This window comes from Homo sapiens, chromosome 5, assembly GCF_000001405.40.
Source record: "Homo sapiens chromosome 5, GRCh38.p14 Primary Assembly".
Lineage (NCBI taxonomy): Eukaryota > Metazoa > Chordata > Mammalia > Primates > Hominidae > Homo > Homo sapiens.
Window position 1 is genome coordinate 69374 of NC_000005.10, and position 18138 is coordinate 87511.

Sequence of the window (18138 nt, forward strand, 5' to 3'; positions counted from 1 at the left end):
GGAGGTAATTTAATTGTGGGGGCAGTTACCCTTATGCTGTTCTCATGATAATGAGTCAGTTCTCATGAGATCTGATGGTTTTATAAGGGGCTTTTCCCCCTTTTGCTCTGCACTTCTCCTTGCTGCCACCAAGTGAAGAAAGACGCGTTTGCTTCCCCTTCCACCATGATTATAAGCTTCCTGAGGCCTCCCCAACCATGCTGAACTGTAAGTCAGTTAAACCACTGTCTTTTACAAATTACCCAGTCTCGGGTATGTCTTTATTAGCAGTATGAGAACAGACTAATACAGGTGGAGTCTGAGTTTTCCACATATAGGATCACTTTGTCAGTAAACAATGGCAGTTTCACTCACTCTTTTCTTATGTGGATGTCTTTTGGTTTTTTCCATGCCTGATTACCCCAGCAAGGACTTCCATTTATATTAATATATTGCATGGATGTAGCAAGAGTGGGCATCCTTGTCTTGTTTCAGATCCTTGAGGAAAGGCTTTCAGTTTTTCAACACTGAATATAATGTTGGCTCTGGACTTCTTATAAATGGTCTTTATTGTGTTGAGGTACATTCTTTCTATTTTTAATTTGGTGAGTTTTTAAAAGGAGGGAATGTTCAGCTTTATCAAATGCCTTTTCTGTGTCTGATGGGGTAATCATATGATTTTTGTTTTTCATTCTATTGGTGTAATATATCATATTTGCTGATTTGCATATGTTGAACCATCCTTGCATCCCAAGGATAAAGACATTTCTCAAAAGAAGACATAAAAATGGCCAACATATATAAGAAGAAAATGCTTGACACGACTGTCATTAGAAAATGCAAATTCAGACAACAATGAGATATCATATCTCACCTGTCAGAATGCCTTTTATCAAGAAGATGAAAGACAAGTGTTGGCAAGGATGTGGAGAAAAGGGAACTCTTACACATTTGGTGGAAATATAACTTAGTACAGCCATTATGGAAAATAGTATGGAGGTTCCTCAAAAGCTAAAAATAAGCCATTGCACTCCAGCCTGGGCAACAGAGAGAGACCTCGTCTCAACAACAACAAAACCTAAAAACAGAATTACCCTATGATCCAGCAGTCCCACTTCTGGTTATTTACCCAAAAGATGTGAAATCAGTTTGTCAAACAGATGTCTGCACTCCAGTGTTTACTGAAGCACTATTCAAAATAGCCAAGTCATAGAATCAAAAATAGCAGCAGATGAAATGGATAATGAAAATGTGCATATACATCATTGAAGACTTTTCTCCCTTAAAAAAGAAGAAAATTCTTACATTTATGATGACACGGATGTAACTGGAGAACATTATGTCAAATGAAATGAGCCAGGAATGGAAAGAGAAATACCACATGTTCTCACTTACATGTGGAATCTGAAACAATTGGACTTATAGAGGCAAAGAGCAGACTGATGGTTACAACAGTTTAGGGGATGGGAAGATGATTGTCAAAGTACAAAATCTCAGAAAGAATACATATGTTTTTCTTTTTTGATTTAGATTGCATAGTGTGGTGAATCTAGTTAATAACAGAGTATTACACATTTAAAAATTGCTAAGAAAGTAAATTTCAAGTGTGCTTAACACAAAAAATGTTAAGTATTTGAGGTGCTGGATATGTTAACCAGCTTGATTTAATTATGTCACATTGTATTCATAAATTACAACATCATTTTACACCTCATACATTTACACCGTTTTTTAAATTAAAAAAATAACAAAAGGACAAAGATCACAGTTGCAAAGAGGTAAAAAGGCATAAAACCAAGTCACAAAAGTAGTAGAAACATCCAGCAATTATATGAATTGAGTGTTCCGAGGACTTCAGATAGGCAGCTTTTTCTTTCCTTCCCAGGGCCTGGCTCCTTTCAGAGTTCCAGCCTCTCGAGTGATTTCTCCAGAGCCCACTCAGTGACACCTCTTATTTGACGCATGCCTCTGCCTGTATATTCTGTGACCAAACAGGGTTTTACTTGTGTTTGGTTTATTTCAGATGCAAAAGAGAGCTTGGCATATATGCCTGGGAAGTGGAAATGTTGGAAATTCTGGGCCTCTGAAATAAGGATTGCTCAGAAAGTCGGTATTTTTTCCCACAACCAGAGGAACCACAGCTAACTGGCCCTTCTCTATCCAGACAGGACTGGTCCTATGTGGATTTTAGTGGCTGTTTTGGACCCCTCTGAGTCAAGGGCAGGAGGCCCTTCCCCCGGTCACATTGGCCTTTCCAGGCCCTTCTCCTGCCCTGTGTCCTGTGGTGTGACAGTGATGACCATGTCCCTTTTGGAGCAAGTGTTGTGAGCTCAGGGATGGATTCAGGCTCAGCTTTGAGATACTCAGCACAGGCTTTTAAAACCCACTCTGTCCTGGTAACATCACTTATGTATTCGGGCCTGGAGGAGCCTCAAGATTGCAGAGGTGAAATGTTTTGTATTTTTTGTGTAATTTGTGCCATAAAGAACCACCAGGGTCTGAACGTCATAGCAAGAGGCAGAGTTCCTGATTCTCTGGGAATGTTGTTCTTAGGATGGTTTACAGAAACACTTGCTGGAGGCAAGTAATTTCATCTGGCTATTTCAACGTGGTGAAGGACACAGCATTATTTTTAGACAACACCAGGTGCCATTAGCAAACTGTATTTGCGTTAATCTTTTCCGCAGTGGGTGGGGATGGCCAGATGCACCCGGCTTCTGACTTACTCTTATGTCAGACTCACTTGGGGGGCTCTGATGCTTGGGAACAGAGATGGACCTGGGACATAGGAGCCACTCCTTGTCCAGAATATTAAGTTCCCACCTTCAAGGGACTTTCTGAATTGGTAAATATGAAGCACCATGAAAAAAACGAATAGAAACATTTTCACATCTACTTAAGCTATAACTGGGAGCCACAGTGATGTGCTGCTGAGGCGAATCACCCCTTTGATTGCAGTGCAGCCGTCTTTACAGCAGCCGACCGTGTCCGGACACCCAGTGTCTCTGTGCTCCGAGGCTGGGGAAAATAGGGTGCACCCAGCAAGTCCAAGTGGAGTCCACCTTTGCCTCTCCACCAGGCATTGCAGAAAACCTGCCGTGAGGCTGCTGCGCTGCCTGCCTGCATGGCCTAGTTCTCCCCCAGACTAAGCAGATTCCTTCAGTGCCATGTGCAGCAGAGAGGGAAGGTGGTGAGACGCGGGCTATGAAGCTGCTCAGTGCAGCTCTCGAGTCTCGTCCCACCCCACAGCTGCTGTCTGGTGGTGCGGCTCCAGCATGAGGGGCTGGTGTGAATCCCATGTCTCCATCAAGTTGAGTCCCAACCCCCATTCCCCAGGAGGCCCTGAAACATAAGCGGCCGGGTCTCACTCACTGTCCACTCCCCGGAGGCCCTGGGACACAGCAGGCCGGGTCCCACTCACTGTCCACTCCCCGGAGGCCCTGGAACACAGGAGGCCGGGTCCCACTCACTGTCCTCTCCCCGGAGGCCCTGGAACACAGGAGGCCGGGTCCCACTCACTGTCCACTCCCCAGAGGCCCTGGAACACAGGAGGCCGGGTCTCACTCACTGTCCTCTCCCCGGAGGCCCTGGGACACAGCAGGCCGGGTCCCACTCACTGTCCTCTCCCCGGAGGCCCTGGGACACAGCAAGCCGGGTCCCACTCACTGTCCACTCCCCAGAGGCCCTGGAACACAGGAGGCCGGGTCCCACTCACTATCCACTCCCCGGAGGCCCTGGAACACAGCAGGCCGGGTCTCACTCACTGTCCACTCCCCGGAGGCCCTTGAACACAGCAGGCCGGGTCCCACTCACTGTCCTCTCCCCGGAGGCCCTGGGACACAGCAGGCCGGGTCCCACTCACTGTCCACTCCCCAGAGGCCCTGGGACACAGCAGGCCGGGTCCCACTCACTGTCCACTCCCCGGAGGCCCTGGGACACAGCAGGCCGGGTCCCACTCACTGTCCTCTCCCCGGAGGCCCTGGAACACAGCAGGCCGGGTCCCACTCACTGTCCACTCCCCAGAGGCCCTGGAACACAGGAGGCCGGGTCCCACTCACTGTCCTCTCCCCGGAGGCCCTGGGACACAGGAGGCCGGGTCCCACTCACTGTCCACTCCCCAGAGGCCCTGGAACACAGCAGGCCGGGTCCCACTCACTGTCCTCTCCCCGGAGGCCCTGGGACACAGGAGGCCGGGTCCCACTCACTGTCCACTCCCCAGAGGCCCTGGAACACAGCAGGCCGGGTCCCACTCACTGTCCACTCCCCAGAGGCCCTGGAACACAGGAGGCCGGGTCCCACTCACTATCCACTCCCCGGAGGCCCTGGAACACAGGAGGCCGGGTCCCACTCACTATCCACTCCCCGGAGGCCCTGGAACACAGGAGGCGGGTCCCACTCACTGTCCTCTCCCCGGAGGCCCTGGAACACAGCAGGCCGGGTCCCACTCAGTATACACTCCCCGGAGGCCCTGGGACACAGCAGGCCGGGTCTCAACTCCCTCGATCCTCTGCTTTCAGGGCCAGAGCCCGGAGTGAGGCCTCACCTCACCCACAGATCAACCTGCCTGGCCCTGCCCCAGGAGACCTGCAGGGTCAGGGCCCCAGCCTCCCCATCCCTTCCTAAATGGCTTGTCACGGACTCCTTACCTTCCCTGGGTCTTCCCCGGGCCAGAGGCCCTTTAGGCTTGTCCTTTTATGGTCCAGTGTGTCTGGGTAGTGCCAAGGGCTGCTGAGATTGGACCTGAGGCAGCTCGGCATTTCAGAAGGAGTGTGACACGTGGAGTGGGGGACACCGGGGCTCCCTCCACACACGGACAGATGACCGTGAGGCATTCTCATAGTGGGGCCTCAGTGTCCTCATCTCTCAGAAGAGGGATTGATGACAAAGTCTCTAGGTCATTCCAGCCCCAATCTCCCTCAGTGCTTTCCCAGGCCAGGGTCTTTGCTGGGGAACTGGGGAGCTGTGGGAAGGTGAGGAGCTGTGAAGAGAGGAGGCTGGGCTGGGGAGAGCTGCTGCAGGGAGAGGCTGAGCACAGGCCCCAGGAACAGCTTGGCCTGACCTGATCCCAGCTCCACCACCCGCTCCGTCTTGGGCCTCACCTGTGTAACGTGCGGTGCTGAGAGTCAGTTCTCTTGAGTGCTGTTGTGAGAGTTAACTGAGGCGATGCGGGAGAGGAGCTCAACATAGGACCTCCATGGGGGAGCCCTTGATAACGTTATGGCTGTCATCAGGGAAAATCCATGTTTCCACTGCGGGGAGCAGAAAAGACGCCTCCAGGACACAAGGTGAGAAGAGATGCAAAGCAGGGGCCCCGGGATGTGCATCCAGAGGTCGGGAGGGTGATTTGTGGAGTCTGCCCCCCACGTTCCAAGCCACCCCAGGCAGAAGGCAGAGTGTGTGTGTACACGCGTGTTTGTGTCTTGCTTGTGTGCACAGGTGTTGTGTTTGTGGGTGTGTGCACACACTGTCTGTGGGGGCAGGGCAGGCCTGGGGAGTCGGGAAACGGATCCAGTTCCCATCCCACCTGTCCCACTGCACGGCTGCAGCCTCAGCCCTCAAACTGCAGAAAGTCTCCTGGCAGGTGTTTGTTCTTCTTTCTTTTTCCTTTGGCCCCATTTTTTTCCTTCTTTTTTGCTTTTCTTATCTTCTTCCCCATCATTTTAACGATTTAGTCTCTCTCATATTTGTCTCCTTTTATAGTAAGAATACCTATTTGTAAAATACCACATAGGTTTTCCGAGGATGGCCCTGCCCAGTGTTCCAGTTCCCAAGACAAGAGTTCTTTTTCCTCTACCCTCGCCCCCGTGCCCTCTTCCTTCATGGCAACACTAGCACCACCATATTGGTAGTAAAAACTTCCACAAGTGCTTCCTCATTTGATCTTCCCAAAATCTGGGGACAGGACTGGTAGACAGTGGTGGTCACACCATCCTGCTGCACTGGGGGGTCCTGGGCCCATCTGTCCCCTCCTTCAGACCTGCACAGGGCCTCCTCCTCTTCCACCTCATCCTCAGGTGCACTGGAGTCTGCAGAAAACCCTGGCTGCAGAGGGCGAGGCGGGAGGCGGCAGAGGGCGAGGCGGGAGGCGGCAGAGGGCGAGGCGGGAGGCGGCAGAGCGTGGGGTGAGGGGCGGCTGAGTGGCGGCAGAGGGCGAGGCGGGAGGCGGCAGAGGGTGAAGGCATCTTCCTGATGCTGAGCCTTCTCTGTGGCTTCTTAGCCTGCATTCCGCCCTCCCGGGAGAGAGACAAACCTCACAGGGTTTGCTGTGAAAACACCGGGTGGATGGTGGCCAGACCTCACACGGAGATAAAGGGCCCCAGAAAAGGAGCACATTTTGGGCAAGGGAGAACTCTAGTGCTTGCAAACGACTGAAACCCTGGCATGGCAAAGTGTTCTCTGGGCAGTGGACGGCGGCGTGGTGGCCATTTAAGCTGGTGTCAGCCTGAAACCTGGATCAGTTTCACTGTTAGGACATCTGTTACGTGGCACGCAGGCACCTCTAGGAGCCCAGAGAGGGCACTTGGAACATCCTGCTTCCAACTCATGATTATCCATAGAAGGGCTTTCTGCAGCGTAGGCGAATCTTGATTTTCTCATTTCCAGACTTTGCTTGCTCCTCTGTCATTGAAGCTTGATTTTCTCATTTCCAACCTTTGCTTGCTCCTCTGTCATTGAAGCTTGATTTTCTCATTTCCAACCTTTGCTTGCTCCTCTGTCTTTGTAACCCAGTGTGGCCTCATTTGGCACCACGGGGATGTATAATGAGTATTCAGCCCACAGGAACATTGACAACATACCCACGCTCTCTGCTGCTCTTGTGGCTTTCATTCAAACAAGAACCAGTGGAGAAACCCTGAGGTAAGTGGTGGCCTCCCATAATTACAGGTGTGTTTCACGCTGCGGCATGTGGACCTTAAGTATTAACAGAAGTTGAAGATAAAGCCTGAAAGCCAACTCTGCTGAGAGGTAGAGGTCAGGGGCGGGTCTGGGTGTGAGCCCACCCGCTCACCTCCCTCACGCTCATCTGCAGTCTCCAGGCTTCATTCTCTGCCATGCCGCCTTCAACAGTATTTTTAAGAGTTTTCATTCTCATCAAAGGGGTGGAGATTAAATGGTGTCCTCACCCCAAAAGGTGCCCTGCCCTTACTGTTTGACCACAGAGGGCTGCTGGGAGTAAGGAGGTCTGGCGTCGGCCATGGCAGTGAGTCAGAAGACACGGGGTCCCCGCTGGCTTTCCGAGTATCGGCTGCGACCCACTGAACTCAGCCATTGAGCAGCTCCTCTGTCCTGGGTGCAGGCATCGCACCCAGTGCTGCTGTGGAAACCTCTGTGCTAGGGACAGAAATAGGAGGAGGAGGAAGAGATGGGGGCTGGCTGGGAGACTCCATGGGAGAGGAGGCCTAGGAGGGACAGGGGTCAGGAGGTCTCCTCAGCAGAGCCTGCTGGCAGCGGGGGAATTAGCCTACACCAGAAGTGGCAGGGCGCCACACGGACAGGTGGCGGATGGAGGATGCACTGGGCAATGTCTTAAAGCCCCAGTTAACTGGGGGTGTAGCGAGGAGCTGTGGAGGGTTGCCCCAGATGCAGAGTCGACACCGTCCTTCTGTATCTGTTCCCCTGTGCTTAGCGTCCTGTGTGACCCGGAGTGGATGCCCCATGTGCATGACGATGCTGGGTAGGTCAGCCTCATGTGCTACAGGGTGAGTTGACTGGCAGAGCCTCCCGCAGGTGCCTGGGCAAGAGGGGACAGGGCTGATCTAATTAGGGCCAGGACCATTCATCACTGTCCCAGCATACCGTAGCCCCTGGGGATGCAGAGGGGAGGAAGAGGGCAGGAGAGAGGGTCAGAGGCTGTTGGTGTTACGGACAGAAGTGTGTGGCCCCAGCAGGTTGGGTCTGGCTCAGGGGAGCAGTAACAGCTGGAAAGAATAACAGCCCCTTTGAAACTGCCATCTGCAGACCTCCCTGGCTGGCTTGGGATGAGGCTGTGCAGGCAGGAAAGATGAGAGTCCGAGGAGGACTTTTCCTTTTTGTCCAGTGGGGACAGACACTGAGGGAACTTCTTGTTCATAAGGAAGCGGCCGCAATCCAGTGACCAACTTTAAGGAGGATGCACACAGACAGGTGTCAGCATAACTTGCTTTACTCTGAAGGGTGGAAGTTCATTAGAGTGACTTGTGGTGGATTCAGCAGCATTAAAATGCCAATGAATTAAGGTAATAGCATGACACAGTTATTCATTTCTTGTTCACACAGTCGTGGCAGGTGTGCGGCCTGCAGGTGGCTCTTTCCTGTGGGCCATTTAGAGACCCAGGTCTCTTCCCGCCTGTGGCTCTGCCTTCCCCAGAGCCATGGCTTCTGTGTCCAGGTGAAAAGGGGAAGAGGGCATGGAGGAGGCACACCTGGGCCTCCCACAGGAGAGACCTGCGTCCCACAGCCGCATGACAGCAGGGGAGGCCGCAGGCCTGGCTGGACAACTCGCCGTTGCTGCCCAGCTGCCTTGCCGTGAAGTTCCCAAATCTGAAAGCCGTTCATCAAAAGTGCAGAATAATGTTCTGTACTTAAATGTGACTTTAGTTAATAATCTTTGCTTGTCTACTATTTAACTATCAGTAGACCAGAAAGATGTTTTTGGTCAAAAGTAGAAATCTAACCTGGTGTTTTGCATTACACATTAGCGTTCCTGTCTCATTTGTGTTGCTGTGGGGTGCTGGGATCTGCGTCACTGTGTCTCTGTGTCTGGGGGCGTGGAGACTGCTGGCCCCAGGACTTCTTTCCATTGCTCTATTAAAAATGCCTGACATTCCCAGAACACCACAGGGGTTTCTCACCCCTGTCATGGGTTTTCTAAAGGCTGATTCCAGGCTGGGTCCAGGCACTTTTGTCCAGAGGCAAAGAGGCGGAAACTGCCAAGCCTCCCATGGCCCCATGGAGGCAGGAGGCCCCTCCCCGGGAGGCTCCAAGTGCCTCCCTGCCACCACCACCATTATGCAGCCTGAAGTGGGGACAGAGTCCCTGGTGTCGTCGGCCAGGCCCCCCAACTCTGGGCGCCTCAGAGAAGCCCCTCCAACCTAAGGGAGGAAGAAGGAGAACATCTGTGCGTCTCTGGTCTCTTGGCAGAGTCTTGCTTGTGTAAGACGCATCAGATCGGGAAACTCCAGGCACATCTTCCACGGCAGCTCGGGTGGCCTGGGAGCCTCCTCTGCCAACCCATTTCCTCTTGTCCTGTTGGCTGCCCTCAGGTTCTGTGAGTGGGCCCACCTCACCTGTGCCGGGAATTGGCATCCTGTCCCTCTGCATCTAGGGCTGCCTCGAGGTGGCTCTGTTCACCCTGGAGGAGGCCAATGCTTGGGGCTTTGTGTGAAGCCAGCAGCCTTGGGTGCTGCCCACTAGGGGGTGCGTGGGGGCTGAAAAGATGCCATCTCCAGGCTGCCTTGCGCTGACTGCTTTACCCCTAGCTGCCCTCCTTAGGCTGCCCTCCTTGACCCTCCTCTGCTGATCACCATTTCTTACAGGGCAAAAGGTGGCAAAGCTGTGATGCCAGTCCCAGCAGGTTCCTGTTAGGAATCAGGGTTCCCAACTCAAACGCCAGTGTGGAGGCCCTGCCTCACGTCTGCCTGCTCAGCACCTCTCTTCTCCTCCATGACTTGCATTAATTAGGGATTGAATTTATATTCTAAAGCAGTTCTAAAGTTTTGGGTGCAATTTTTCCTAGTATATCTGGAATAGGTTACAGGGGGTTGCAGTTAGGTGTTGAATACATGCCATTTTTTAAAAGATGACAGTGTAGGAGATGCCTAATGTATCAAAAGATTGGTCCATCCAAATAATGAAGATGAGATGGTTTATGGCAGAGAGGAGAGTGTGGATTAGGTGTGAAAAGAGTGAGGGTAAACCTGGATGGACTGGCCTCGGGTTAGTAAAGAAAGAAGGAAATGCAGCAGCCTATGACCAAGACCAGCAGCAAACCCGGGGTCCTGCCACCCCAACAAGAGAACAGCAGGCCCTTGTAGTCTCAGGTGTGCCCACAGGGGTGGGCAGGGAGCCGTGCTGAGCAGGATTAAGGGGAGGGAGAGCCCTGGTTTCCGGGTGACCATCTCTCCCGTAATGCTGTGCACCGTGTGTGTTCTTTGCCCAGTGTCTAGATCCTTCTGAGGGCCCCTCTGTGGCTCCTGCCTTCTGGGCTGAAGGCAGTGGACGAGCTGTCAGCCTGCAGCATCTAGGATGAGTCTGCTGAGCAGTGTGGCCGCTCTATGGTGAGATGTACCGGGAGTGTAATGGACAGACAACGCTTCCAAGATCAGCATGAAAGTGCAAAATAGCTCAATAATTTATGTATCGATCAGGTGTTGATATGACAGTATTTTCGTTATGTTGGGTTACATAAAATATATTTTTCAAGTTAATTTAACCGATTTATGTTTGCCTCTGTTTATCTTTTTAAGATGAGGCTGATAGAAACTTTCAGTGAGGTGCTTTGGATTCTCTATCTAGACCCACACTCTTGGGGGAACGGGCTGCCCTGGCCAATCAGTCCAGATTGTGTACTTGGAGCTAGGTTGATTCCAGTGGTGACTTGGATGCTTTGTGCACACAGGACAGGTGTACTGCTCCTTATACAAAGCTGGAGACATCCGCGGGGGCGGCCCAGGAAGAACCCTACAGGATGTGACCTGGGGGTGCCATCCTGGCCCTAACACCCATGACCCACCACAGCCTGGACCCCTGCAGCAGAAAATAAGTGAACACTGGGCTCCCCCACCCCATCCTGTAATAGTGAACACTGGGCCACCACGTCCTGTAGTAGAGGATATGGGGGGCACTAGGCTTTCACCCCATTCTCTAAGAGGATATGGGGGGCACTGGGCTTTCACCCCGTTCTCTAAGAGGATATGGGGGACACTGGGCTATCACCTCATTCTCTAAGAGGATATGGGGGGGCACTGGGCTTTTACCCCGTTCTCTAATAGGATATGGGGGGCACTGGGCTTTCACCCCTTCCTGCAGTGCGTATGAGGGGACATTCGCTGGATTCAGTGGACCTTCCTTACCTCCTGCATCCCAGTGGCTCTATTCCTGGAGGGTTTTTTTCAACTTGATAAATAATTCACATTTGTCCATACAACAAAATGACACCGTGGCTGTGTTGTGGGATGGCATACCTGGGTCCTGTGGATCTCCTCATGCTCCATTGAGCTTCTTTCTGTGGTGACAGCTGCCAGGTCAATGTGCAAGTCAATTCCAATATGTCTGCCTTTCTTCTCCATCCAGCCCCTTGTCCCCATTCCTCATCCATCTTTCCTCCCCATCATTTGCCTCATTTTGCTTCCTCCATTTTTCGCCTCCCACCACCTTTGCCCACTAGGGAACCTCTGTAGAGGCATCCCAAATCCACTAACAACCGTTTTGTTCTTGTGGAAGAACATACAGGACGCTTTACTTTCTATTCCTTTCCTGGGTTCTCAGCTCATGGGTCCCAAGGAGGGCCCCTGTGTCCTGTGTATCCGACTCCCATCTCCAGTGTGTTGCAGTGAAGTTTCTGTCACTGTGTGAAGGCAGCTGCAGGTTCCCAGTATTCTCCAGGGACCTTGTTTTATGTCATGTCCAATCTTTCCCTGTCACATGCTCCCACTGATATGTGTGCCCAGGGAGGAGGGGCACTGTGTCCTGTGTATCCGACTCCCATCTCCAGTGTGTTGCAGTGAAGTTTCTGTCACTGTGTGAAGGCAGCTGCAGGTTCCCAGTATTCTCCAGGGACCTTGTTTTATGTCATGTCCAATCTTTCCCTGTCACATGCTCCCACTGATATGTGTGCCCAGGGAGGAGGGGCACTGGGTCTTGGTGAGTGCTGAAGACCCCACAGATCCTTGGTGTTGGCATGCTCTTCCCCCGGAGACCTACACATCCACTCTGTTTTCTTTCAGGACTTAGCACCTCCCGCCTCCAGCCTCCCTTTCTTGCATCCCACTTCTCAGATGCCTTCCTATCCCCCCTTTCTGCTCTTGGCCAAGCCCATCTTCCTGGAAAAACCTGGTCATGCCCAGCTGCACAGATGCGAGAACAAATGTGGCAGGTGCCCAGGCCTGCATCCGCGGCCGCACCAGGGTAACACGTAGGGCAGCCCCTACCCCTCATTCTGGGCTTCGTGGGCCACTGCTGACCACAGCTGGCTGTCCACCTGGGACGTGGCACTGCAGCTTTCCCAACCAGGGCCTCCTTTTACCTCGTTAACCCCCAGCCGGTCCCTTGGACCATGGCTCGCTCTCTCAGAAGATGGTCAACTGGCTTCCCCGCTGAGCGCAGCTGCACACTGTGTTGGTCATGGGTCACCGTGAAGCAGCTCTGTTTGCACCTCCACTGACTGCACTGTCAGCACTGCGGACACAGCAGCGTCCTGCCCTCCGGAGCTTAAGCCCTAGTGGAGAAGCCAGATGCTACCCAGACAACCACAGTATTCACATGCACTTACACCGTGACAAGTGCTCCCCACCCACAGCCTGTTGCAGCAGGTGCCTGGTCACAGAGCCCAGGGGAGGCTTCCTGGGGAAGGCTCTGGCTGAGTTCTGCAGGGAGCCGGAGCTGGATGGGGCAAGAGGGAACAGCCAGTGCCCAGGGTGAGGCTGGTCTCCCAGTTCCTTGACCTGCAGAACGGGGAGCATGGCCCTTCATTCATGTCCATCCAGTGCGTCTTTCCCTTGCACTCCACTGAAGGCAGGGCTGGTGGCTTGGACTTTAGGATGGCGAGGAAACGTGTGTGGAAGTGAGAGATGGCTTACGGGGCCTCTTTCTGGTTTTTGAGTCTTTCAGGTGTGTTGAAGCCCAAACCACACAGCATCTGCCAGGCTGAGTGCAGGGTTGTTGTGCGCTGCAGTGTCTGACCCTCCCCGTCTGTCACTGGCCGGCTTGATGTGTGGAGCCGCAGAGAGGCTGCCCCGAAATAACTCACATTCCAGGGCAGGGTGGAATGTTTGCCTCCCTGTGCGGGTCTGCGTCTTGCTTTGTGCTGGGCTGCAACCCTGTGCATAATGAAATGAATATGAGCAGACTGTGCCCCAGGCTCCCACTGAGCTCCCTGGAGGGGTGATGGGTCTGCAGGATAAGAACAGGTAGATTTTTGCTGGCACTGTCTAGTTTTAACTGTTTTTGCCTGAGGAAAAATCTTCAATTCACGTGCTTCATGATTATGGGGCTAGTGATCAAGGGGTTTGTTCCTACGTGTATCTCAGAAGAGGTGGGAAATTCACCTTAGAAACTTTTATTTTAACATGTTTAATTTTTTTTTATCTTAGTGCTCTTGCAGTTTTCATGTTTGTTTAAATTGGAAATGCCAATGGTTTGAGGAAAAACATGTTAAGCCTGGAAGCAGAACTTCAGCAGATGCGGCTCTTTTCCTGTCTGTCTTTAGTGAGGCTTTGAGCTGCCTCGCACAAGCCGGTCAGTGATCCGGTCCTCGCCCAGGTTAAGGAGGGTCCTTGTGCGTTGCATGTGAGTTCCCCTCTCCGGTGTTGCTGGAGGGGATTTGCCGAATACTAAGTGTCATTCTTAAGCGTTACATGAATTATTTAGTAATGCACAGTGTCTCTCAGTAACCGTGTGCAACTAATACTGTATGAATTCATGAGTATTTCTGGAACCAGGAGACTTTTTAAGATCATATATTCATTCATTCAACAAATCTTTATTGGGTGTCCATTGTGTGCTGGGCACCATTCTAGGGGCTAATATTCCAGTGGGAGAGAGAGATGCTAAACATGAAACTATAAACTGGGTATCAGCATAAGTGATTCACAGGGTATGTTACTGGGAAGCCTCGTTGAGAGGCCGGGTGGTCAGGGAAGCCTCGATCAGAGGGAGGGTGGTCAGGGAAGCCTTGATGAGAGGCCAGGTAGTCAGGGAAGCCTTGATGAGAGGGAGGGTGGTCAGGGAAGCCTCCATGAGAGGCCAGGTGGTTGGGGAAGCCTCGATGAGAGGCCGGGTGGTCGGGGAAGCCTCGATGAGAGGCCGGGTGGTCGGGGAAGGCTCGATGAGAGGCAGGGTGGTCGGGGAAGCTTCGATGAAAGGCTGGGTGGTCGGGGAAGGCTCGATGAGAGGCCGGGTGGTCAGGGAAGGCTCGATGAGAGGCCGGGTGGTCAGGGAAGCCTCGATGAGAGGCCGGGTGGTCGGGGAAGCCTCGATGAGAGGCCGGGTGGTCGGGGAAGCCTCGATGGGAGGCCGGGTGGTCGGGGAAGGCTCGATGGGAGGCAGGGTGGTCGGGGAAGGCTCGATGAGAGGCCGGGTGGTCGGGGAAGCCTCGATGAGAGGCCGGGTGGTCGGGGAAGCCTTGATGAGAGGCCGGGTGGTCAGGGAAGGCTCGATGAGAGGCCGGGTGGTCGGGGAAGCCTCGATGGGAGGCCGGGTGGTCGGGGAAGCCTTGATGAGAGGCCGGGTGGTCAGGGAAGGCTCGATGAGAGGCCGGGTGGTCGGGGAAGCCTCGATGAGAGGCCGGGTGGTCGGGGAAGCCTCGATGGGAGGCAGGGTGGTCGGGGAAGCCTCGATGGGAGGCCGGGTGGTCGGGGAAGCCTCGATGAGAGGCCGGGTGGTCAGGGAAGGCTCGATGGGAGGCAGGGTGGTCGGGGAAGCCTCGATGGGAGGCCGGGTGGTCGGGGAAGCCTCGATGAGAGGCCGGGTGGTCAGGGAAGCCTCGATGGGAGGCCGGGTGGTCGGGGAAGCCTCGATGGGAGGCAGGGTGGTCGGGGAAGCCTCGATGGGAGGCAGGGTGGTCGGGGAAGCCTCGATGGGAGGCAGGGTGGTCGGGGAAGCCTCGATGGGAGGCAGGGTGGTCAGGGAAGGCTCGATGAGAGGCCGGGTGGTCGGGGAAGCCTTGATGGGAGGCCGGGTGGTCGGGGAAGCCTCGATGAGAGGCCGGGTGGTCGGGGAAGCCTTGATGAGAGGCCGGGTGGTCGGGGAAGGCTCGATGAGAGGCCGGGTGGTCGGGGAAGCCTCGATGGGAGGCCGGGTGGTCGGGGAAGCCTCGATGGGAGGCAGGGTGGTCGGGGAAGCCTCGATGGGAGGCCGGGTGGTCGGGGAAGCCTCGATGAGAGGCCGGGTGGTCAGGGAAGCCTCGATGAGAGGCCGGGTGGTCGGGGAAGCCTCGATGAGAGGCCGGGTGGTCAGGGAAGGCTCGATGAGAGGCAGGGTGGTCGGGGAAGCCTCGATGGGAGGCAGGGTGGTCGGGGAAGCCTCGATGGGAGGCCGGGTGGTCGGGGAAGGCTCGATGAGAGGCCGGGTGGTCGGGGAAGCCTCGATGAGAGGCCGGGTGGTCGGGGAAGCCTCGATGAGAGGCCGGGTGGTCAGGGAAGGCTCGATGAGAGGCAGGGTGGTCGGGGAAGCCTCGATGGGAGGCAGGGTGGTCGGGGAAGCCTCGATGGGAGGCAGGGTGGTCGGGGAAGCCTCGATGGGAGGCAGGGTGGTCGGGGAAGCCTCGATGGGAGGCAGGGTGGTCAGGGAAGGCTCGATGAGAGGCCGGGTGGTCGGGGAAGCCTTGATGGGAGGCCGGGTGGTCGGGGAAGCCTCGATGAGAGGCCGGGTGGTCGGGGAAGCCTTGATGAGAGGCCGGGTGGTCGGGGAAGGCTCGATGAGAGGCCGGGTGGTCGGGGAAGCCTCGATGGGAGGCAGGGTGGTCGGGGAAGCCTCGATGGGAGGCAGGGTGGTCAGGGAAGGCTCGATGAGAGGCCGGGTGGTCGGGGAAGCCTCGATGGGAGGCCGGGTGGTCGGGGAAGCCTCGATGGGAGGCAGGGTGGTCGGGGAAGCCTCGATGGGAGGCAGGGTGGTCAGGGAAGGCTCGATGAGAGGCCGGGTGGTCGGGGAAGCCTTGATGGGAGGCCGGGTGGTCGGGGAAGCCTCGATGAGAGGCCGGGTGGTCGGGGAAGCCTCGATGAGAGGCCGGGTGGTCGGGGAAGCCTCGATGAGAGGCCGGGTGGTCGGGGAAGCCTTGATGAGAGGCCGGGTGGTCAGGGAAGGCTCGATGAGAGGCCGGGTGGTCGGGGAAGCCTCGATGGGAGGCAGGGTGGTCGGGGAAGCCTCGATGGGAGGCAGGGTGGTCAGGGAAGGCTCGATGAGAGGCCGGGTGGTCAGGGAAGCCTCGATGAGAGGCAGCGAGCAGACATACGCAGGAGGGAGGGGTCGGGCCAGGCAGAGATCGGGGAGTGTGTGTGGGGCAGAGGGAACTGTGGGTGAAGTTCTGTGTCTGAGGTGTGCCTGGCATGTGGGGAGGCCTGTGGCTGGAGGAGAGGCATTGGGGCCTGGCCCCGCCTCTCACACTCACACACACCTCCTGCTCCAACCACCGTCCCTGGGTTATGGATGCAGTGGCATTCAAGACACTGCAGTGTCCACACCCTGGGGCCCTGGTTCTGTTTGTCCCCAGAGAAAAACAGGCTGGCCCTGAAACACTCCTTTTTCTTCCACGGCTGATGCTGGCGAGCACACCTGCAGTGTCTGTGAGGGTGCTGCCATCTGTCACTGAGGGCCAGGCCGGGACAGGTGCCACACGTGCAATGTGAGGGCTCAACACACAGCCATTTCCAAGGCTGTGCTGACTCCACGGGAGCGTGGAGGTCTCTGAGCTCAGGCATCCTGTGGATGGCCACAGCATCCTGGGATGGACCAGTGCTGCAAGAGCCGGTCTGCCAGAATGTTTATGCAAACTCAGAAAGACGTTTTTGCTCTTTTTCATGAAATTAAAAATTTTAAAAGATCTAGTCCACACATATTCAAGAAAAGTATAACTAACAATTCCTCAGTATAGGACAAACAGACTTTCCACCCCTGATGGCTCAAGAAGGGGGCGTTTGATACCCCCACTTCCTTCTCCAGATGTTGCAACGTTTACTCCCTTTGTAGAAAATCTCTTCCTGTCTTTCTCTGTCTGCCCGTCTCCCCACTTGCCTCCCCCTCCCCCTCTCGCCCCCCTCCCATGATCCCCCCTCTCTCCCCCACACTCTCTCCCCCTCGCTCTCCCCTCCCTGCTCCTCCCCCCCCTCCATCCCCTTCTCGCCTCACCTTTCTGATTGACTCTGTCCCCTTCACATTGAGCCGCTGTCCCCACCACTCTGTGGATGCTGCTCTGAGGTCACCAGTGATCTATCTGTTGCTAAATCTAATGATCAGTTCTCAGTTCCCATCTTGATGGACCAATAGCATTTAGCCAAGATTTGTCATTTTCCCCCTTTTAAAACACTTTCTTCCTTGGACCTGGGACATGAAACCCTTCTTCCTACCTCACTGGCTGCTCCTTTGCAACAGCCTTTGTTGGTTCATCCATATTTTGGACTTTTGCAACCAAAAGTTTTTATCTAGAAATCTGTCATAACACATTATTTTTTATAATCAGTTATAATTCATGATTGAGTGGTTATAGTACTGCTATTATTTTGTATTGTGGTAGAGTATATGCAATAATTACAATTCTAACCATTTGTTGAGTGTAGCTTCTAGTGGCATTTAAATATGTTCACAATTTGTATAACTATCGTCACTATCTATACCCAACACTTTCCCTATCCCAGACATCAACTCTGTACCCGGGTGAGAACTCCCCATTTCTCTCTTGCCCAGGCTGTGGTAATGTCTACATTTTCTCCTTATGAATCTGCCTGTTCAAGTTCCCTTATAGAAGTGGGATCATACAGTATCGGTCCTTTCATGTCTGCATGGACACTTGGTTTGTTTCTATCTTTTGGCGGTAGTGATTAATGCCATGAATGTTGGTGTACAGATATCTGTTCAAGTCCCTACTTTCAGTTCTTTTGGATCTGCCAACTAGGAGTGGAATGCCTGGGTCCTATGGTACATCTATGTTTCACTCTTTGAGGCACCACCAGACTTTTCTGCAGTGGCTACACAATCTTACATTCCCCCTAACCTGTGGGTACCAACTTCTCCACATCCTAGCCAACACTCACTTAGCATGAAAAAAGTATATTACTAGAGCCATTCTAGCAGGCATGAAGTAGTATCATTATGGTTTTGATTTGTAGTTCTGTAATAACTAATGTTGAGCATCATTTCATGTGCTTATTTGTCTATCTTCTTTGCAGAAATGTCTATTCAACTTACTTGCCCATTTTTAAATTGGGTTGTTTTGTTGTTGAGTTTTAGTTCTTCATATATTCTGGAAAT

General features: G+C 53.8%; 3 annotated features.

The window, feature by feature from the left end:
- Positions 2537–3067: an enhancer, noted in NCBI's record as "H3K4me1 hESC enhancer chr5:72025-72555 (GRCh37/hg19 assembly coordinates)". NCBI's record gives its function as "activates a minimal SCP1, AML or CMV promoter by ChIP-STARR-seq in naive H9 embryonic stem cells {active_cell/tissue: H9 hESC(naive)}" and the evidence as "EXISTENCE:reporter gene assay evidence [ECO:0000049][PMID:30033119]".
- Positions 7878–8777: an enhancer, noted in NCBI's record as "H3K4me1 hESC enhancer chr5:77366-78265 (GRCh37/hg19 assembly coordinates)". NCBI's record gives its function as "activates a minimal SCP1, AML or CMV promoter by ChIP-STARR-seq in naive H9 embryonic stem cells {active_cell/tissue: H9 hESC(naive)}" and the evidence as "EXISTENCE:reporter gene assay evidence [ECO:0000049][PMID:30033119]".
- Positions 13241–13535: a silencer, noted in NCBI's record as "tiled region #259; K562 Repressive non-DNase unmatched - State 21:Repr". NCBI's record gives its function as "represses a minimal TATA promoter and a strong SV40 promoter by Sharpr-MPRA in K562 cells {active_cell/tissue: K562}" and the evidence as "EXISTENCE:reporter gene assay evidence [ECO:0000049][PMID:27701403]".